Source organism: Homo sapiens, chromosome 1, assembly GCF_000001405.40.
Source record: "Homo sapiens chromosome 1, GRCh38.p14 Primary Assembly".
Lineage (NCBI taxonomy): Eukaryota > Metazoa > Chordata > Mammalia > Primates > Hominidae > Homo > Homo sapiens.
In genome coordinates, this window is record NC_000001.11 from 48271325 (window position 1) to 48295333 (window position 24009).

Consider the following 24009-nt stretch of genomic DNA (forward strand, 5'->3'; position numbering starts at 1 on the left):
AAAATTTAAGAGTATCCATTTGAAAATCAGATTTCATTATGGAAACATTAACTCTGAACTGAGGAACTATTTCTTTCTTCTTGAGTACTGTGGGTACAACCAAGATGTTTCTCTCATCCTTTTCATTTTTATGTCTCTTGGCTGCAAGTACAGGTAGACTTGCTGATAGCAACAACCCTGTTAGACTTCTCATCTCCTATATCCAAATAGAAATAGGCTTTGTATTGCTTTTGCTGGCCCTTCGATGTGTTTTTTCTTTCATGCAGTCATTCAACAAAATTTGATTGAACAACTAGGCCATGGGATGCACAGTTAAACAACTAGAATAGCAATCTGCACTAGGGATGCAGATTTAACAACTAGGCCATGGGATGCAGAGGTAAACAAGGCCCCAAATCACTGACCAGTAAAAACAGGTAAGATAGTCACTGATAATTCAGTTTGCTAAGTGCTATAATAAAGATATGTCCAGTTTGTGATGCCATGGATATAAAAATGAAGAAATGACCCTTCCCTAGAAGAGCCTACACACAATATGCTAAACATGAGTCAATCAATAGATATTGTACTGTAATTGTTGACTTGTCTGTCCCACCATCAATAGTCAGGGTAAGCTCCTTGAGTTCAGAAATCCTGATTTATCTCACTCTCATGTCCAGTACTTTCATGAAGGTCATCTACAAATATAGCAAAATGCACTTTCTTGAAAATCTCCTTAGTAGCTTTATTGAGGTATCATTGACATAAAAAAATTTATGTAATTAAGGCATAACTTGACGTTTTGATATATGTATACACTATAAAATGATGTCAATCAAGCTAATTAACATATCCATCACCTCTACATAGTTACCATTTGTGTTTGTGTCTGTTGAGAAGATTTAAGACCTGTCTTCTTAGCAAATATTAATTATACAACACAGTTTATTAACTATCATCACCATGTTGTACATTAGATGTCCAGAAGTTATTCATCTTTCATAGCTGAAACTTTGTACCCTTTGATCAATATCACCCCATTTCCTTCTCCCCTCAATCCCTGGCAACCACCATCCTACTTCTACTTCTATGAGTTTGACTATTTGAGATTCTCATATGAGTGAGATCATGAAGTATTTTTCTGTGTCTTGCTTATTTTGCTTAGCAAGATGCCATAAAACTCCATCCATGTAGTCACAAATGGCAGGATTTCCTTCTTTTATTAAGGCAGAATAGTATTCCTTTGTGTATATATATACTACATTTTATTTTCCATTCATCCATTGGTGGACACTTAGGTTGATTCCATATCTTGGCTATTGTAATACTGTAATGAACATAGTAATATAGATACCTCTTTGCAATTCTTATTTCAATTCCTTTGAATATATACCCAGAAGTGAAATTGTTGGATCATATGATAGTTCTATTTTTAATTTTTTAAGTCACCTTCATACTGATTTCCATAACGGCTATGGAAAAACACTTGTTATCTTTTGTCTTTTTGATAGTAGCCATTCTAACCTGTGGGAGGTGATATCTCATTGTGGTTTTGATTTGCATTTCCCCTGATAATTAGAGATGTTGAGCAACTTTTCGTATTCCTGTTGGCCTTTTGAATTCCTTCTTTTGAGGTCCTTTGTCCATTTTTAAATTGCTATTTGTAATTTCGGTATTAAGGTGTATGAGTCCCTTATATATTTAGGATTTAACCCCTTATTGAATATACGGTTTGCAAATCTTTTTTCCTCATTCCGAATATTGTCTTTACATTTTGTTGATTGTTTGCTATACAGAAGCTTTTGAGTTGGGTGTAGCCTCAACTCTTTATTTTTGCTTTTGTTGTCTGTCCTTTTGTTATCATATCCAAAAATATTATTGCCAAGACCAATTTCAAGGAGATTTTCCTTATGCCTTCTTGTACGGTTTTGTGGTTTCAAGTTTTACATTTAAGTCAATCCATTTTGAGTTGATTTTGTGTATGGTATAATGGTCCAATTTTATTTTTTGTTTTGGCACTTGGATATACAGTTTGCCAAACATCATTTTTTTTATTATACTTTAAGTTTGGAATACATGTGTAGAATGTGCAGGTTTGTTACATAGGTATACACGTACCATGGTGGTTTACTGGACCCATCAACCAGTCATCTACATTAGATATTTCTTCTAATGCTATCCCTCCCCATCCTCCACCCCACAACAGGCCCCGGTGGTGTGATGTTCCCCTTGCTGTGTCCATGTGTTCTCATTGTTCAACTCCCACATATGAGTGAGAACATGAGGTGTTTGGTTTTCTGTTCCTGTGTTAGTTTGCTGAGAACGATGGTTTCCAGTGTCATCCATGTCCCTGTAAAGGACATGAACTCATCCTTTTTTTATGGCTGCAGAGTATTCCATGGTGTATATGTGCCACATTTTCTTTATACATTCTATCATTTATGGGCATTTGAGTTGGTTCCAAGTGTTTGCTATTGTGAACAGTGCTTCAGTAAACATATGTGTGCATGTGTCTTTATAGTAGAATGATTTATAATCCTTTGGGCCTGTGCCCTGTAATGGGATTGCTGGGTCAAATGGTATTGCTGGTTCTAGATCCTTGAGGAATCGCCACACTGTCTTCCACAATGGTTGAACTAATTTACACTCCCCCCAACAGTGTAAAAGCATTCCTATTTCTCTACATCCTCTCCAGCATCTGTTGTTTCCTGACTTTTTAATGATCGCCATTTTAACTGGCATGAGATGGTATCTCATTGTGGTTTTGATTTGCATTTCTCTAATCATCCGTGTGATCATGAGCTTTTTTTCATATGTTTGTTGGCCACATAAATGTCTTCTTTTGAGAAGTGTCTGTTCATATCCTTCGCTCACTTTTTGATGGGGTTTTGTTTTTTTCTTGTAATTTTATTTAAGTTCCATAGATTCTGGATATTAGCCCTATGTCAGATGGATAGATTGCAAAAGTTTTCTCCCATTCTGTAGGTTGCCTGTTCACTCTGATGATAGTTTCTTTTATTGTGCAGAAGTTCTTTAGTTTAATTAGATCCCGTTGTATATTTTGGTTTTTGTTGCCATTGCTTTTGGGGTTTTAGTCATGCAGTCTTTGCCCAGACTTATGTCCTGAATGGTATTGCCTAGGTTTTCTTCTAGGGTTTTTATGGTTTTAGGTCTTACTTTTAAGTCTTTAATCCATCTTGAGTTAATTTTTGTATAAGGTATAAGGAAGGGGTCCAGTTTCAGTTTTCTGCATATGGCTAGCCAGTTTTTCCAACACCATTTATTAAATAGGAAATCATTTCCCCATTTCTTGTTTTTGTCACGTTTTCAAAGATCATATGGTTGTAGATATGTGGCATTATTTCTGAGGCCTCTGTTCTGTTCCATTGGTCTATATATCTGTTTTGGTACCAGTACCATGCTGTTTTCATTACTGTAGCCTTGTAGTATAATTTAAAGTCAGGTAGCAGGATCCCTCCAGCTTTATTCTTTTTGCTTAGGACTGTCTTGGCTATGCAGGCTCTTTATGGTTCCATATGAAATTTAAAGTAGTTTTTTCTAATTCTGTGAAGAAAGTCAATGGTAGCTTGATGGGGATAGCATCGAATCTATAAATTACTTTGGGCAGTATACTCATTTTTACTATATTGATTCTTCCTATCCATGAGCATGGAATGTTTTTCCATTTGTTTATGTCCTCTCTTATTTCTCTGAGCAGTGGTTTGTAGTTCTCCTTAAAGAGGGCCTTCACATTTCTTGTAAGTTTTATTCCTAGGTATTTGATTCTCTTTGTAGCAATTGTGAATGGGAGTTCACTCATGATTTGGCTCTCTGTTTGTCTATTATTGGTACATAGGAATGCTTGTAATTTTTGCACATTGATTTTGTATCCCGACACTGTGCTGAAGTTGCTTATCAGCTTAAGGAAATTTTGGGCTGAGATGATGGGGTTTTCTAAATATACAATCATGTCATCTGCAAAGAGAGACAATTTGACTTCCTCTCTTCCTATTTGAATACCCTTTATTTCTTTCTCTTGCCTGATTGCCCTGGCCAGAACTTCCAACACTATGTTGAATAGGAGTGGTAAGAGAGGGCATCCTTGCCTTTTGCTGGTTTTGAAAGGGAATGATTCCAGCTTTTGCCCATTCAGTATGATATTGGCTGTGGGTTTGTCATTAATAGCTCTTATTATTTTGAGATACGTCCCATCAATACCTAGTTCATTGAGAGTTTTTAGCAAGAAGGGGTGCTGAATTTTATCAAAGGCCTTTTCTGTATCTATTGAGATAATCACGTGGTTTTTGTCATTGTTTCTGTTTCTGTGATGGATTACATTGATTGATTCGCATATGTTTTTATGGTATGTTTTTATGTTTAACATAATTGATTTGCATATATTGAAGGCAACTTGATCATGGCAGATAAGCTTTTTGATGTGCTGCTGGATTTGATTTAGCAGTTTATTTAGGATATTGGCCTGAAATTTTCTTTTTTTGTTGTGCCTCTGCCAGGTTTTGGTATCAGGATGATGCTGGACTCATAAAATGAGTTATGGAGGAGTCCCTCTTTTTCTATTGTTTGGAATCGTTTCAGAGGTAATGGTACCAGCTCCTCTTTGTACCTCTGGTAGAATTCAGCTGTGAATCAGTCTGGTCCTGGGCTTTTTTTTTATTGGTAGGCTATTAATTGCTGCCTCAATTTCAGAACTTATTATTGGTCTATTCAGGGATTCGACTTCTTTCTGATTTAGTCTTGGGAAGGTGTCTGTGTCCAGGAATTTATCCATTTCTTCTACATTTTCTAGTTTATTTGCATAGAGGTGTTTATAGTATTATTCTCTGATGGTATTTGTATTTCTGTGAGATCAGTGGTGACATCCACTTTATCATTTTTTATTGTGTCTGTTTGATTCTTCTCTTTTTTCTTCTATATTAGTCTGGCCAGCCTTCTGTCTATTTAGCTGATCTTTTCAATAATCCAGTTCCTGGAGTCATTCATTTTTTTGAAGGGTTTTTCATGTCTCTTTCTCATTCAGTTCTTCTCTGATCTTATTTCTTATCTTCTGCTAGCTTTTGAATTTGTTTGCTCTTGGTTCTCTAGTTCTTTTAATTATGATGTCAGGGTGTCAACTTTAGATCTTTCCCACTTTCACCTGTGGACATTAAGTGCTATACATTTCCCTGTAAACACTGTTTTAGCTGTGCCCCAGAGATTCTGGTATGTTGTGTCTTTGTTCTTATTCGTTTTAAAGAACTTATTATTTCTGCCGTTACGTCCTTATTTACCCAGAAATCATTCAGGAGTAGGTTTTTCAGTTTCCATATAGTTGTGCATTTTGAGTGAGTTTCTTAATACTGAGTTCTAATTTGATTGCACTGTGGTCTGAGAGAATGTTTCTTATTTTTCCATTATTTTGCATTAACTGAGGAGTGTTTTACTTCCAATTATGTGGTCAATTTTAGAATGAGTACGATGTGGTGCTGAGAAGAATGTATATTATGTTGATTTGGGTGGAGAATTGTGTAGATGTATATTAGGTCCACTTGGTCCGGAGCTGAATTCAAGTCCTGAATATCTTTGTTAGCTTTGTGTCTCATTGATCTAATATTGACAGTGGGGTGTTCAAGTCTTCCACTATTATTGTGTGGAAGTCTAATTCTCTTTGTAGGTCTCTAAGAACTTCCTTTATGAATCTCGGTGCTCCTTTATTGGGTGCATATATATTTAAGATAGTTAACTCTTCTTGTTGCATTGATCCCTTTACCATTAGCAATGGCCTTCTTTGTTTTTTGCTTTTTTTTTTTTTTGTATTTTTTAGTAGAGATGGGGTTTCTCCTTCACTTTTGAAGCTTAGTTTCGCTGTATATGAAATTCTGAATTGGGAGGCTGGAGCCAAGATGGCCAAATAGGAACCGCTCCGGTCTACAGTTTCCAGCGTGAGCGATGCAGAAGATGGGTGATTTCTGCATTTCCATCTGAGGTACCGGGTTCATCTCACTAGGGAGTGCCAGACAGTGGGTGCAGGACAGTGGGTGCAGCGCACCATGCGTGAGCCAAAGCAGGGCGAGGCATTGCCTCACTTGGGAAGCGCAAGGGGTCAGGGAGTTCCCTTTCCTAGTCAAAGAAAGGGGTGACAGATGGCACCTGGAAAATTGGGTCACTCCCACCCCAATACTGCGCTTTTCCGACGGGCTTAAAAAACGGTGCACCAGGAGATTATATCCCGCACTTGGCTCGGAGGGTCCTACGCCCACAGAGTCTCACTGATTGCTAGCACAGCAGTGTGAGATCAAACTGCAAGGTGGCAGCCAGGCTGGGGGAGGGGCACCCGCCATTGCGCAGGCTTGCTTAGGTAAACAAAGCAGCTGGGAAGCTCGAACTGGGTGGAGCCCACCACAGCTCAAGGAGGCCTGCCTGCCTCTGTAGGCTCCACCTCTGGGGGCAGGGCACAGACAAACAAAAAGACAGCAGTAACCTCTGCAGACTTAAATGTCCCTCTCTGACAGCTTTGAAGAGAGCAGTGGTTCTCCCAGCACACAGCTGGAGATCTGAGAATGGGCAGACTGCCTCCTCAAGTGGGTCCCTGACCACTGACCAATGAGCAGCCTAACTGGGAGGCACCCCTCAGTAGGGGCGGACTGACACCTCACATGGCCAGGTACTCCTCTGACACAAAACTTCCAGAGGAATGATCAGACAGCAGCATTCACGGTTCAAGAAAACCCACTGTTATGCACCCATCACTGCTGATACCCAGGCAAACAGCGTCTGGAGTGGACCTCTAGCAAACTCCAACAGACCTGCAGCTGAGGGTCCTGTCTGTTAGAAGGAAAACTAACAAACAGAAAGGACATCCACACCAAAAACTCATCTGTACATCCCCATCATCAAAGACCAAAAGTAGATAAAACCACAAAGATGGGGAAAAAAACAGAACAGAAAAACTGGAAACTCTAAAAAGCAGAGCGCCTCTCCTCCTCCAAAGAACACAGCTCCTCACCAGCAACACAACAAAGCTGGATGGAGAATGACTTTGATGAGTTGAGAGAAGAAGGCTTCAGACGATCAAACTACTCCGAGCTACAGGAGGAAATTCAAACCAAAGGCAAAGAGGTTGAAAACTTTGAAAAAAATTTAGACGAATGTATAACTAGAATACCCAATACAGAGAACTGCTTAAAGGAGCTGATGGAGCTGAAAGCCAAGGCTCGAGAACTACATGAAGAATGCAGAAGCCTCAGGAGCTGATGTGATCAACTGGAAGAAAGGGTATCAGTGATGGAAGACGAAATGAATGAAATGAAGCGAGAAGGGAAGTTTAGAGGAAAAAGAACAAAAAGAAATGAACAAAGCCTCCAAGAAATATGGGACTATGTGAAAAGACCGAATCTACATCTGATTGGCGTACCTGAAACTGACGGGGAGAATGGAACCAAGTTGGAAAACACTCTGCAGGATATTATCCAGGAGAACTTCCCCAATCTAGCAAGGGAGGCCAACATTCAGATTCAGGAAATACAGAAACGCCACAAAGATACTCCTCGAGAAGAGCAACTCCAAGACACATAATTGTCAGATTCACCAAAGTTTAAATAAAGGCAAAAATGTTAAGGGCAGCCAGAGAGAAAGGTCAGGTTACCCACAAAGGGAAGCCCATCAAACTAACAGCGGATCTCTCGGCAGAAACTCTACAAGCCAGAAGAGAGTGGGGGCCAATATTCAACATTCTTAAAGAAAAGAATTTTCAACCCAGAATTTCATATCCAGCCAAACTAAGCTTCATAAGTGAAGGAGAAATAAAATCCTTTACAGACAAGCAAATGCTGAGAGATTTTGTCACCACCAGGCCTGCCCTAAAAGAGCTCCTGAAGGAAGCATTAAACATGGAAAGGAACAACCGGTATCAGCCACTGCAAAAACATGCCAAATTGTAAAGACCATCGAGGCTAGGAAGAAACTGCATCAACTAACGAGCAAAATAACCAGATAACATCAAAATGACAGGATCAAATTCACACATAACGATATTAACTTTAAATGTAAATGGGCTAAATGCTCCAATTAAAAGACACAGACTGGCAAACAGGACAAAGAGTCAAGATCCATCAGTGTGCTGTATTCAGCAAACCCATCTCATGTGCAGAGAAACACATAGGCTCAAAATAAAAGGATGGAGGAAGATCTACCAAGTAAATGGAAAACAAAAAAAGGCAGGGGTTGCAATCCTAGTCTCTGATAAAACAGACTTTAAATCAACAAAGATAAAAAGAGACAAAGAAGCCCATTACATAATGGTAAAGGGATCAATTCAACAAGAAGAGCTAACTATCCTAAATATATATGCACCCAATACAGGAGCATGCAGATTCATAAAGCAAGTCCTGAGTGACCTACAAAGAGACTTAGACTCCCACACAATAATAATGGGAGACTTTAACACTCCCCTGTCAACATTAGACAGATCAACGAGACAGAAAGTTAACAAGGATACCCAGGAATTGAAGTCAGCTCTGCACCAAGTGGACCTAATAGACATCTAAAGAACTCTCCACCCCAAATCAACAGAATATACATTCTTTTCAGCACCACACCACACCTATTCCAAAACTGACCACATAGTTGGAAGTAAAGCACTCCTCAGCAAATGTAAAAGAACAGAAATTATAACAAACTGTCTCTCAGACCACAGTGCAATCAAACTAGAACTCAGGATTAAGAAACTCACTGAAAACCGCTCAACTACATGGAAACTGAACAACCTGCTCCTGAATGACTACTGGGTACATAACGAAATGAAGGCAGAAATAAAGATGTTCTTTGAAACCAACGAGAACAAAGACACAACATACCAGAATCTCTGGGACACATTCAAAGCAGTGTGTAGCGGGAAATTTATAGCACTAAATGCCCACAAGACAAAGCAGGAAAGATGCAAAATTGACACCCTAACATCACAATTAAAAGAACTAGAAAAGCAAGAGCAAACACATTCAAAAGCTAGCAGAAGGCAAGAAATAACTAAAATCAGAGCAGAACTGAAGGAAATAGAGACACAAAAAACCCTTCAAAAAATTAGTGAATACAGGAGCTGTTTTTTTGAGAGAATCAACAAAATAGATAGACTGCTAGCAAGACTAATAAAGAAGAAAAGAGAGAAGAATCAAATAGATGCAATAAAAAATGATAAAGGGGATATCACCACCGATCACACAGAAATACAAACTACCATCAGAGAATACTACAAACACCTCTACACAAATAAACTAGAAAATCTAGAATAAATGGATAAATTCCTCGACACATACACCCTCCCAAGATTAAACCAGGAAGAAATTGACTCTCTGAATAGACCAGTAACAGACTCCAAAATTGTGGCAATAATCAATAGCTTACCAACCAAAGAGAGTCCAGGACCAGATGGATTCACAGCCGAATTCTGCCAGAGGTACAAGGAGGAACTGGTACCATTCCTTCTGAAACTATTCCAATCAATAGAAAAAGAGGGAATCCTCCCTAACTCATTTTATGAGGCCAGCATCATCCTGATACCAAAGCCGAGCAGAGACACAACCAAAAAAGAGAATTTTAGACCAATATCCTTGATGAACATTGATGCAAAAATCCTCAATAAAATACTGGCAAACCGAATCCAGCAGCATATCAAAAAGCTTATCCACCATGATCAAGTGGGCTTCATCCCTGGGATGCAAGGCTGGTTCAATATACACAAATCAATAAACATAATCCAGCATATAAACAGAACCAAAGACAAACACCACATGATTATCTCAATAGATGCAGAAAAGGCCTTTGACAAAATTCAACAACCTTTCATGCTAAAAAATCTCAATAAATTAAGTATTGATGGGATGTATCTCAAAATAATAAGAGCTATCTATGACAAACCCACAGCCAATATCATACTGAATGGGCAAAAACTGGAAGCATTCCCTTTGAAAACTGGCACAAGACAGGGATGCCCTCTCTCACCACTCCTATTCAACATAGTGTTGGAAGTTCTGGCCAGGGCAATTAGGCAGGAGAAGGAAATAAAGGGTATTCAATTAGGAAAAGAGGAAGTCAAATTGTCCCTGTTTGCAGATGACATGATTATATATCTAGAAAACGCCATCGTCTCAGCCCAAAATCTCCTTAAGCTGATAAGCAATTTCAGCAAAGTCTCAGGATACAAAATCAATGTACAAGAATCACAAGTATTCTTATACACCAATAACAGACAAACAGAGAGCCAAATCATGAGTGAACTCCCATTCACAATTGCTTCAAAGAGAATAAAATACCTAGGAATCCAACTTACAAGGGACGTGAAGGACCTCTTCAAGGAGAACTACAAACCACTGCTCAATGAAATAAAAGAGGATACAAACAAATGGAAGAACATTCCATGCTCATGGGTAGGAAGAATCAATATCGTGAAAATGGCCATACTGCCCAAGGTAATTTATAGATTCAATGCCATCCCCATCAAGCTACCAATGACTTTCTTCATAGAATTGGAAAAAACTACTTAAAGTTCATAAGGAACCAAAAAAGAGCCTGCATCACCAAGTCAATCCTAAGCCAAAAGAGCAAAGCTGGAGGCATCACACTACCTGACTTCAAACTATACTACAAGGTTACAGTAACCAAAACAGCATGGTACTGGTACCAAAACAGAGATATATATCAATGGAACAGAACAGAGCCCTCAGAAATAACGCCACGTATCTACAACTATCTGATCTTTGACAAACCTGACAAAAACAAGAAATGGGGAAAGGATTCCCTATTTAATAGATGGTGCTGGGAAAACTGGCTAGCCATATGTAGAAAGCTGAAACTGGATCTCTTCCTTACACCTTTTACAAAAATTAATTCAAGATGGATTAAAGACTTAAACGTTAGACCTAAAACCATAAAAACCCTAGAAGAAAACCTAGGCATTACCATTCAGGACATAGGCATGGGCAAGGATTTCATGTCTAAAACACCAAAAGCAATGGCAACAAAAGCCAAAATTGACAAATGGGATCTAATTAAACTAAAGAGCTTCTGCACAGCAAAAGAAACTACCATCAGAGTAAACAGGCAACCTACAAAATGGGAGAAAATTTTCACAACCTACTCATCTGAGAAAGGGGCTAATATCCAGAATCTACAATGAACTCAAACAAACTTACAAGAAAAAAACAAACAACCCCATCAAAAATGGGCAAAGGACATGAACAGACACTTCTCAAAAGAAGACATTTATGCAGCCACAAAACACATGAAAAAATGCTCACCATCACTGGCCATCAGAGAAATGCAAATCAAAACCACAGTGAGATACCATCTCACACCAGTCAGAATGGTGATCATTAAAGTCAGGAAACAACAGGTGCTGGAGAGGATGTGGAGAAATAGGAACACTTTTACACTGTTGGTGGGACTGCAAACTAGTTCAACCATTGTGGAAGTCAGTGTGGCGATTCCTCAAGGATCTAGAACTAGAAATACCATTTGACCCAGCCATCCCATTACTCGGTATATACCCAAAGGACTATAAATCATGCTGCTATAAAGACACATGCACACATACATTTATTGTGGCACTATTCACAATAGCAAAGACTTTGAACCAATCCAAATATCCAACAATGATAGACTGGATTAAGAAAATGTGGCACATATACACCATGGAATCCTATGCAGCCATAAAAAATGATGAGTTCATGTCCTTTGTAGGGACGTGGGTGAAATTGGAAATCATCATTCTCAGTAAACTATCGCAAGAACAAAAAACCAAACACCGCATATTCTTACTCATAGGTGGGAATTGAACAATGAGAACACATGGACACAGGAAGGGGAACATCACACTCTAGGGACTGTTGTGGGGTGGGGGGAGGGGGGAGGGATAGCTTTAGGAGATATATCTAATGCTAAATGACGAGTTGATGGGTGTAGCACACCAGCATGGCACATGTATACATATGTAACTAACCTGCACATTGTGCACATGTACCCCCAAAATTACAGTATAATAATAATAAAATAAAAAATAAAAAAAATTTTTAAAAAAGATATTCTGAATTGAAAATTCTTTTCTTGGCTGGGCGCAGTGGCTCACACCTGTAATCCCAGCACTTTGGGAGTCCAAGGCAGGCAGATCATGAGGTCAAGAGATTGAGACCATCCTGGCCAACATGGTGAATCCTCATCTCTACTAAAAATACAAAAATTAGCTGGGCATGGTGGCAGGTGCTTGTAATCCCAGCTACTCAGGAGGCTGAGGCAGGAGAATGGCTTGAACCAGGGAGTCGGAGTTTGCAGTAAGTCGAGATCACGCCACTGCAATCTAGCCTGGGTGACAGAGCAAGACTCCGTCTCAAAAAAAAAAAAAAAAAAAAAAGAAAGAAAGAAAGAAAGAAAGAAAATTCTTTTCTTTAAGAATGCTGAATATTGGTCCCCACTCTCTTCTGGCATTTAGGGTTTCTGCAGAGAATTCTACTGTTATTCTGATGGGCTTCCCTTTGTGGGTAACCCGACCTTTCTCTCTGGCTGCCCTTAACATTTTTTCATTGATTTCAACCACGGTGAATCTGACAATTATGTGTCTTGGGGTTGCTCTTCTCAAGGAGTATCCTTGTGGTGTTCTCTATATTTCCTGAATTTGAATGTTGGCCTGTCTTGCTAGGTTGGGGAAGTTCTCCTGGATAATATCCTGAAGAGTGTTTTTCAACTTGGTTCCATTCTCCCTGTCACTTTCAGGTACACCAATCAAATGTAGGTTTGGTCTTTTCATGTAATCCCATATTTCTTGGTGGCTTTGTTCATTCCTTTTCATTCTTTTTTCTCTAATCTTATCTTCACACTATTTCATTAAGTTGATCTTCAATCCCTGATATCCTTTCTTCCACTTGATCAATTTGGCTATTGATACTTGTGTATGATTCAGGAAGTTCTCATGCTGTGTTTTTCAACTCCATCAGGTCATTTATGTTCTTCTTTAAACTGGTTATTCTAGTTAGCAGTTTCTCTGAACTTTTTTCAAGATTCTTAGCTTCCCTGCATTGGGTTAGAACATGCTCCTTTAGTTCGAAGGAGTTTGTTATTATGCACCTTCTGAAGCCTACTTCTGTTAATTCATCAAACTCATTCTCCATCCAGTTTTGTTCCCTTGCTGGGGAGGAGTTGTGATCATTTGGAAGATAAGAGGCATTCTGGTTTTTGGAAATTTCAGCCTATTTGACCTGTATTTTCCTCATCTTTGTGGATGTATCTACCTTTGGTCTTTGATGCTGGTGACCTTCGGATGGGGTTTCTGTGTGGACATCCTTTTTGTTGATGGTGATGCTATTCTTTTCTGTTTGTTAGTTTTCTTTCTAACAGTCAGACCCCTCTGCTGTCTGTGCTGGAGTTTGCTAGATGTCCACTCCAGACCCTGTTTGCCTGGTTATCACCAGCAGAGGCTGCAGAACAGCAAAGATTGCTCCCTGTTCCTTCCTCTGGAAGCTTTGTCTCAGAGGGGCATCCACCAGATGTCAGCCAGAGCTCTCCTGTATGAGGTGTCTGTCGACCCCTGCTGGCAGGTGTCTCCAGTCAGGAGACACGGGGCTCAGGACCCACTTGAGGAGGTAGTCTGACCCTTAGCAGAGCTCGAGCGCTGTGCTGAGAGATCTACTGCTCTCTTCAGAGCCAGCACGCAGGAACGTTTAAGTCTGCTGAAGCTGCGCCCACAGCCACCCCTTCCCCCAGGTGCTCTGTCCCAGGGAGATGGGAATTTTATCTATAAGCTCCTGTTTGGGGCTGCTGACTTTCTTTCAGAGATGCCATGCCAAGAGAGGAGGAATCTGGAGAGGCACTCTGGTTACAGCAGTTTGCCTAGCTGCGGTGGGCTCCTCCCAGTTCAAACTTCCCGGCAGCTTTGTTTACACTGTGAGGGGAAAACTGCCTACTCAAGCCTCAGTAATGGCGGACACCCCTCCCACCACTAAGCTCAAGTGTCCCAGGTTGACTTCAGACTGCTGTGCTGGCTGCCAGAATTTCAAGCCAGTGGATCTTAGCTTGCTGGGCTATGTTGGGGTGGGATCTGTTAAGCTAGACCACTTGGCTCCCTGGCTTCAGCCCCCTTTCCAGGGGAGTGAATGGTTGTGTCTCACTGACATTCCAGGTGCCACTGGGGTATGAAAAAAAAAAAAAAAAAAAACTCCTGCAGCTAGCTCGGTGTCTGCCCAAATGGCTGCCCAGTTTTGTGTGTGAAACCCAGGGCCCTGGTGGCATGGCACCCAAAGGAATCTTGTGGTATGTGAGTTGCGAAGATCATAGTAAAAGAATAGTATCTGGGCCAAATGCACCGTTCCTCATGGCACAGTCCCTCACAGCTTCCCTTGACTATGGCAGGGAGTTCCTGACCACTTGCACTTCCTGGGTGAGGCCCCGCCCCACCCAGCTTCAGCTTTCCCTCTGCAGGCTGCACCCATTATCTAACCAGTCCCAGTGGGATGAGCCAGCTACCTCAGTTGGAAATGCAGAAATCACCCACCTTCTACATTGTTCTTGCTGGGAGCTGCAGACCAGAACTGTTCCTATTCAGCCATCTTGCCAGCCACCCCCCAACATCTTTTTTTGAGGAGACTATCCTCTCCACATTTTGTATTCTTGACACCGTTGTTGAATATTAGTTGACCATATATGCATGAGTTTATTTCAGGGCTCCCTATTCTGTTCCACTGATCCATGTGTCTGCTTTTATGCCAGGATTACACTGTTTTGTTTATTATAGCTTTGTAATAAAATTTGAAGTCAGGACATGTGATGCCTCCAGCTTCCTTTTTCTTGCTTAAGATTACTTTGGCTATTTGGGGACATTTTTAGTTTCATATGAATTTTAGGAATTTTTTTTCTTTTTCTGTAAAAAAAAAAATGCCATTGGGATTTTGATAAGAACTGCATTGAATATGGAGATTGCTTTGGGTAGTACAGACATTTTAAAAATATTAACTCTTTTAATCCATAAACATAGGATGTCTATTTGTGTCTTTCTGAATTTCTTTCATCAATGTTTTATGATTCTCAGCATTAAAATCTTTCATCTCTTTGGTTAATTCCTAAGTATTTTACTCTTTTTGTTGCTAATGTAAATGGGATTGCTTTTTATATTTCCCTTTCAGATAGTTGTTAGGGTATAGAAGTAATACTGATTTTTTATGTGCTAATTTTCTATTCTGCAACTTTATTGAATTTATTCTATCAGCTTTTTTGTAGAGTCTTTAGGCTTTCTATATATATGATCATGCCAAATGCAAACAGAGATAATTTTATATCATCCTTCCAATTTAGATGCCTTTTTAAAATTTTGACTGATTATTCTGGCTAGGTAATATAGTTTTGTATTAGTCACGTCTTATATTGATATAAAGTAATACCTGACACTGTGTAATTTATTTTAAAAAATGAGGGTTTGGCCAGGCACAGTGGCTCACATCTGTAATCCCAGCACTTTGGGGAGGTCAAGGCAGGCAGATCACTTGAAGTCAGGAGTTCCAGACCAGCCTGGCCAACATGGTGAAGCCCTGTCTCTACTAAAAGTACAAAAAATTTATCTGGGTGTGGTGGCGGGCACCTGTAGTCCCAGCTACTTGGGAGACTGAGGCAGGAGAATCACTTGAACCCAGGAGGCAGAAGTTGCAGTGAGCCGAGATCACGCCACTGCACTCTTGCCTGGGTAACAAGAGTTAGACTGTCTCAAAAAAAAAAAAAAAAAGGGAGGTTTAATTGGCTCACTGTTTTGCAGGCTGTAAGGGAAGGATAGTGGCATCTGCTTCTGGGGAGGCCTCAGGAAGCTTCCAATCATGCCAGAAGGCAAAGGGGGAGCAAGCATGTCACATGTCAAAAGCCTGGGTTAAGAGAGTGAAGGGGGAGGTGCTACACATTTTTAAATGACTGGATCTCATGAGAACTCACTATCACAGGGATAGTGCCATGAGGGATGGTGCCAAACCATTTATGATAAATCAGCCTCCATGATCAAATCACCTCCCACCAGGCCCCACTTCCAACATTGGGGGTTACATTTCAATATGAGATTTGTGGGAGGACACACATCCAAACTATATTATGTTTTCATGTTTGTCCCCTCCAAATCTCATGTTGAAATGTGATTCCCAATGTTGGAGGTGTGGCTTGGTGAGAAGTAATTGGGTCATGGGGGCATATCCTTCATGAATGATTTAGCACCATCCCCTTGTGATAAGTGAGTTCTTTCTCAAGTAGTTCACATGAGATCTGGCTGTTTAAAAGAGTCTGGGGCCTCTCCCTTCTCTCTCTCTCTTGCTCCCTTTCTTGCCATGTGGCACTGCCAGCTCTCCCTTTGCCTTCTGCCATGATTATGAGCTCCCTGAGGCCCTCACTAGAAGATGCTGAAGCCATGCTTGTACAGCCTGCAGAAACATGGGCAAATTAAACTTCTCTTTATAAATTACCCAATCTCAGGTATTTCTTTATAACAATGCAAAAACAAACTAACACACTGGGACTTCCAGTAGAATACTGAATAGCAGCAGAGGGAGTGAGCATCTTTTCCTTGTTCATAATCTTAGAGGAAAAGTTTTAAGCTTTATCCAAAAGATTATAATGTTAGCAGTGGGTTTTTCATATATGGCTTTTATTGTGTTGAAATAAGTTTCCTGTATATCTATTTTGTTTAAAGTTTTTATCATAAAATGTTGTTGAATTTTGTCAAGTACCTTTTCTGCATATATTGAGATTATCATGTGGTTTTTGTCTTTCTTTCTGTTAATGTATCTCACATTGATTTATTTTTGTATGCTGAACCATCCTTGCATCCCAGGGATAAATATCACTTGGTTGTGGTGTATGATCCTTGTAATGTGCCATTGAATTATTTTGTTACTGTTTTATTGAGGACTTCCATATCTATGTTAATCAGAGATATTGGCTGTTTTCTTTTCTTGAAGTGTCTTTGGAACTGGATCATGATGATGCTAGCCTCATAAAGTGAGTTTGGGAGGGTCTTCCCTTTTCTAATTATTGAAAGTTTAAGAAGCCGAGAGAATTCCTCAAGATGGCTGAACAGGAACAGCTCCAGTCTACAGCTCCCAGTGTGACTGATGCAGAAGACAGGTGATGTCTGCATTTCCAACTGAGGTACTGGGTTCATCTCACTGGGGCTTGTCAAACACTGGGTGCAGGACAGTGGGTGCAGCCCACAGAGCATGAGCCAAAGCAGGACAAGGCATCACCTCACCTGGGAAGTGCAAGGGGTCAGAGAACTCCCTTTCCTAGCCAAGGGAAGCCATGACAGACAGCACCTGGAAAACCAGGTCACTCCCACCCTAAGACTGTGCTTTTCCAATAGTCTTGGCAAACGGCACACCAGGATATTACATCCCGTGCCTGGCTCGGAGGGTCCCACACCCACGGACCCTCACTCATTGCTAGCACAGCAGTCTGAGATCGAACTGCAAGGTGGCAGCAAGGCTGGGGGAGGGGCGCCCACCATTGCTGAGGCTTGAGTAGGAAAACAAAGCGGCCAGGAAGCTGAAACTGGGTGGAGCCCACTGCAGCTCAACGAGGCCTGCCTGCCTCTGTAGGCTCCACCTCTGGGGGCAGGGCATAGCCTAACAAAAGGCAGCAGAAACTTCTGCAGACTTAAATGTCCCTGTCTGACAGCTTTGAAGAGAGTTGTGGTTCTCCCAGCACAGAGTTTGAGATCTGAGAACCAACAGACTGCCACCTCAAGTGGGTTCCTGACCCCGAGTAGCCTAACTAGGAGGCACCTCCCAGTAGGGGCTGACTGACACCTCATATGGCCAGGTGTCCCTCTGAGACGAAGCTTCCAGAGGAATGATCAGACAGCAACATTTGCTGTTCTGCAATATTTGCTGTTCTGCAGCCTCCGCTGGTGATACCCAGGGGAACAGGGTCTGGAGTGGACCTCCAGCAAACTCCAACAGACCTGCAGCTGAGGGTCCTGACTGTTTGAAGGAAAACTAAAAAACAGAAAGGACATCTGCACCAAAACCCCATCTGTACATCACCATCATCAAAGACCAAAGGTAGATAAAACCACAAAGATGGGGAGAAACCAGAGCAGAAAAGCTGAAAATTCTAAAACTCAGAGAGTCTCTTCTCCTCCAAAGGAATGCAGCTCCTCACCAGCAGTGGAACAAAGCTGGATGGAGAATGACTTTGACAAGTTGAGAGAAGGCTTCAGAGGATCAGTAATAACAAACTTCTCCAAGCTAAAGGAGGACGTTCAAACCCATCGCAAAGAAGCTAAAAACCTTGAAAAAAGATTAGATGAATGGCTAACTAGAATAAACAGTGTAGAGAAGATCTTAAATGACCTGATGGAGCTGAAAACCATGGCACAAGAACTACTTGATGCATGCACAAGCTTCAGTAGCCGATTCGATCAACTGGAAGAAAGGGTGTTAGTGATTGAAGAATCAAATGAATGAAATGAAGTGAGAAGAGAAGTTCAGAGAAAAAAGAGTACAAAGAAACAAACAAAGCCTCCAAGAAATATGGGACTATGTGAAAAGACCAAATCTATGTCTCACTGGTGTACCTGAAAGTGACAGGGAGAATGGAACCAAGTTGGAAAACACTCTGCAGGATATTATCTAGGAGAACTTCCCCAACCTAGCAAGGCAGGCTAACATTCAAATTCAGGAAGTAAAGAAAACGCCACAAAGATACTCCTTGAGAAGAGCGACTACAAGACACATAATTGTCAGATTCACCAGAGTTGAAATGAAGGAAAAAATGTTAAGGGCAGCCAGAGAAAGGTTGGGTTACCCACAAAGGGAAGCCCATCAGACTAACAGCTGATCTCTTGGCAGAAACTTTACAAGCCAGAAGAGAGTGGGGGCCAATATTCAACATTCTTAAAGAAAAGAATTTTCAACCCAGAATCTCATATCCAGCCAAACTAAGCCTCATAAGTGAAGGAGAAATAAAATCCTTTACAGACAAGCAAATGCTGAGAGATTTTGTCACCACCAGGCCTGCCCTAAAAGAGCTCCTGAAGGAAGCACTAAACATCGAAAGGAACAACTGGTACCAGCCACTGCAAAAATATGCCAAATTGTAAAGACCATCGAGGCTAGGAAGAAACTGCATCAACTAACGAGCAAAATAACCAGATAACATCATGACAGGATCAAATTCACACATAATAATATTAACCTTAAATGTAAATGGGCTAAATGCTCCAATTAAAAGACACAGACTGGCAAATTGGATAAAGAGTCAAGACCCATCAGTGTGCTGTATTCAGGAGACCCATCTCATGTGCAGAGACACACATAGGCTCAAAATAAAGGGATGGAGGAAGATCAACCAAGCAAATGGAAAACAAAAAAAAGCAGAAGTTGCAATCCTAGTCTCTGATAAAACAGACTTTAAACCAACAAAGATCAGAAGAGACAAAAAAGGCCATTACATAATGGTAAAGGGATCAATTCAACAAGAAGAGCTAACTATCCTAAATATATATGCACACAACACAGGAACACCCAGATTCATAAAGCAAGTCCTTAGAGACCTACAAAGAGACTTAGACTCCCACACAATAATAATGGGAGACTTTAACACCCCACTGTCAACATTAGACAGATCAACGAGACAGAAAGTTAACAAGGATATCCAGGAATTGAACTCAGCTCTGCACCAAGCAGACCTAATAGACATCTACAGAACTCTCCACCCCAAATCAACAGAATATACATTCTTCTCAGCACCACGTCGCACTTACTGCAAAACTGACCACATAGCTGGAAGTAAAGCACTCCTCAGCAAATGTTAAAGAACAGAAATTATAACAAACTGTCTCTCAGACCCTGTGAGGGTCCTCGATTTAATTTTTGTTAAGTTCACTGGTTTTGTGTTGGCCTCCAGCCAGGAGGTGGCACTTTCAAAAGCATATCAGCTGGGGTTGTATGGGGAGGATCAGGTGGTAGGCAGGGCCATAGAGCTCCCAGGAGATTATGTCCCTTGTCTTTGGCTACCAGGGCGGGTAGAGAAAGATCATCAGGTGTGGGCAGGGTTAGGCTGAGTTCAGACTCTCCTCGGGCTGGGCTTGCTGCAGCTGCTGTGGGGGATGGGGGTGTGGTTCCCAGGCCAATGAAGTTATGTTCCCAGGAGGAATATGGCTATCTCTGCTGCATCACACAGGTCACCAGGGAAGTGGGGGAAAGTCGGCAGCCACAGGCCTCAACCAGCTCCCACACAGCCCGCAGACGAAAAGGCTGGTCTCACTCCCTCTGTGCCCACCTGCCCCCCTCACCCAGTAGCACTGAGTTTATTTCCAGGCAGCCAGTGAGCAGGGCTGAGAACTTGCCCCAGGCTACAAGCATCCCAGCTGAGAAAGCAAGCGGACTCACAGTTCCTTGGCTGTCCCAGGGAGCCTGCAGTGGCAGTCCACTTCCTTCAAAGGGTCTGTGGATTCTCTAGGCTTTCCTGGTGTTCCTGCAGTAGTTCTAAGAGCAAGAGTTCATGCTGTGGGTCTCCACACACTGCTCTATCTGTTGAAGTGGGAGGTCCAAGTTAGCCCTGCCTCCTAGCCACCATTTTCCCCCATTGCTTCTTTATGTTTATGGGTTTTTTAAATCTCTTTGTTGAAGTTGTCATTTTGTCCCCGCTTTCCTAATTTTGTTATATCGTTTACCTGTGTTGTCTTGTAGCTCACCAAGCATCTAAAGGACAATTACTTTAAATTATTTGGCAGCTAACTCATGAATACCCATTTCTTTGGGGTCAGTTACTGTAAGTTTGCATTCCTTTGGTGGTGTCATAGTTTTCTGAATTTTCATGCTTCTTTTATCCTTGCATTGGTGTCAGTGCATTTGAAGCAGCACTTACCTCTTCCAGACCACCTTTGGTAAGAAAAGTTCTTCACTGAGAGGGGGAGCAGAAGTATGCTGTGACACTGAGTCTAATGGCATGTGAGATGCCAACTGCTGTAACCTGTCACAGCTCTGTGTCCAGGAGGGACAGGAGTGGTGGCACAGGAGCTGAAGTAGCCAGGGTCCACAACATTTGGCAACTATGTTGTCCTCAGCTGTGAATGTTGTGGGGGTTTTGTGGTGCCCATGAGGGCTGCTGGGGTCCTTAGTGGTGCCACTGGATATAGCAGCAAGTGCACCTGCATAGATAATGCCGAAGTTGGCAGTCAAGACTGGGGAGAGCTAGGGGTGCACACAACAGGAGGGTTGGTGGCAAGTATGCCTGTGGCACTAACAACCAAGACCAGCAGCAGGTGTTTATGTGGTGGCAAGAGGTGGCCATAGGCAGGCATATGTGCAGCAGTGCAAACCACCAGTGAGTATGTGGCTGCAACAGCCAAAGCCAATAGCAGGCATATGTACAGTGGTGAGAGCTGGGTAAGGGCATGCACGCAGTGGTGCAAATAAGCAGTGCTTGCATGCACTGTCATTAACAGCCAGGGCCAGTTGTGTGCATGCACATGCCCATGAGAATTGGTCACAGATGAATGTGGTGGTTAAAACTGGGGCTAGTGGGTCAGTGCCAACTGCAGGCATGCATGCAGTGACTGCACTGGTTCCCAGGGTTTGGGTGCCCACAGAGGCGCTGGCTGGGGCAGCTCCACTGGAGGTAAAAATAGCCTAGTCAGCTGGGGTCCATGAAGGAGAAAGCCAGAAGGCCATCTGCGGTGAAAGCCATGGGAATTCCAAGCCAGCTGGGAGGTCTTCAGTGGAGAAGGGTGCTGGGGTCATCTGAAGACCAGGCCGCTATGAACCATGGTATCCCCTGCCACGTGGCTGACACAATGCCCTCTGTCCTTCTTTATTCCTAGCTGCTTCCAGATATCTCAGCTATGCCAGTCTTCCCCGGGATTTGAGTGGGATAAAACCAATGTGGATCTTTTGGGCAGTACCCACAAATTGTGAAGAGGCTGGACACTCACCCTGCTCTCATTTTCACCTGAGGGTAACATTTGGTAATGAGCTGTGCCAGCCTGACGGATGGCATAAAGATAAAATGAGACTTCTTCATACCCATTCTGTGTGGTTATTCTTGTTTTTGTTGTTGTTGTTTTGGTTTGGTTTTGCTTTGCTTTTTTGCTCTACTATGCTGCCGCAGCTTCTTATCTGGACTCCAAAGCCCTCCCACAGCTATTTCCATTCCTGGATGTCTATCAGATTGTTGTTTGTGGGGTTGAGGGCCAGGGTCTCCTACTCTACCATCTTGTTGGTAATACTTCCTTCTTGAATATCTTATATGTTTTTCCCCTCAAAAGCAGAAGTACCTTGGTAATGAGAGTAATGCTAAGTTACTGTTAAGTAATGTTAAGTAACTTTATTAACTTTTAGAGAACAGTATATCAGCTGATATCTGTTCTGTGTTAGCTTATTTCCTTCTTACTTCACAAACCTTAGTAAGTGGAATTTCTAAGGCTTATGCTATCCAAGACAGCTAGAAAGAATATCAAGTAATTTCAATTATTATCCCTCAAGTAAATGCCAGTCTCTCCCCAACCCCCATATACACACACAAACTTTGATTGAGAACTGTGTTTCTGTTTATCTCTGGGTTATCACTCAATGTCTTGCAGATTGCCTGGAATATTTTGCGAATGGGTGAACAGTCACAAGTACTGATTATCTGAGGAAACATCATATAATTAAACTCAAAGTATATCATTCAGTGATAATAAACACATTAACTTAACAAAATGTTGGATTTTCTCTCTTACTTACCTCTTCGTTTCGTACATTGAAACTGTAGCTAGTTAGAAGGAGGATTTCTTTCTTAATTATTATTATTTTGAGCTCTGTCACCTAGGCTGAAGTGCAGTGGCACAGTCTTGGCTCACTGCAGCCTCCACCTCCCAAATTCAAGTGGTCTTCCTACCTCATACTCCCGAGTAGCTGGGACTACAGGTGCATGCCACTACGCCTGGCTGATTTTTGTATTTTCAGTAGAGGCAGGGTTTCACCATGTTGGCCAGGCTGGTCTCAAATACCTGACCTCAGATGATCCGTCCACCTCGGCCACCCAAAGTGCTGGGATTACAGGCGTGAGCCACTGCATCCGGCTGTCTATCTTATTTTTAAAAGGGCTGCCCTCAAACTATCTCACTACCACCAGAGCCTCCTTAATTAGCAAAACATTAAATTACTTGAGGTCCAGCACTCTCAGGGTGCCTATTATGGTCACATATAAATTAGGAGAAAAACAAAAAGCAGAGCTTTCATTTGTTTTTATCTGACTTCATTATTTTTATCTGACTTCAAAATGTGTTTTGTATTCTTGAGTTCTCCCAAGTTCTAGATCTTTATTCTTAACTGACTCTGGATATTTTAAACTCCATCTCCACTCTTGTAAAATCTGATCAATATTTAGTTTATTCCACCTTGTTTTCCTATTCTCAAAAGTCCTTTCAATCTTTCAATATTCAGCTCAATGGTCACCTCTTCTAATGCTGCTCTAGACTTCTTTGTAGTTCTCTTACTGCATTAGTCATATTCTACCATAGCATTTGCAACCTTGCACACCACTTCTAGCTAAAGCACTTGGAGGAGTTTCCTGATCAATCATGCTCCCTCCCATTTTCATGCCTCTGCATGTTCTGTTTCATCAAGCTAGAAGGCCTTTATCCCCATTCTTGCATTTTCATACCATGGAAGTTACCAAACGACTGCAAATGTTTAAATACACTTTTTGTTTTCATACTTTTAAAGATACATTTTTATATACCCTCTATTTCTAACATAGTTCTTAATATATATGTGATGAATAAATTGATGAGGCTTGAATGTATAACTTGCCTAAGATCCTAAGATAAAGATCAACACAGTTGATCTTTGTAAAATGGCACGTTCACTTTGAAAAACAATTTGGTAGTTCTTCAAAATGTTGAACATAGTTTCCATAGGACCCAGCAAGTCAACTCCTAGATGTATACTCAAGGGAAATAAAATCATATGTCCACACAAAAAACTTGTATACAAGTGTTCAGAGCAGCATTTCAGAATACCTAAAAAGTGGAAACAA

General features: G+C 41.4%; 1 protein-coding gene across 3 annotated transcripts in view; it reads right to left on the reverse strand.

Moving 5' to 3' along the window:
- The window catches only part of SPATA6 (spermatogenesis associated 6), a 210816-nt gene that overhangs the window by 9936 nt on the left and 176871 nt on the right, over window positions 1-24009 (reverse strand). The gene's annotated exons all lie outside the window — the stretch shown is intronic.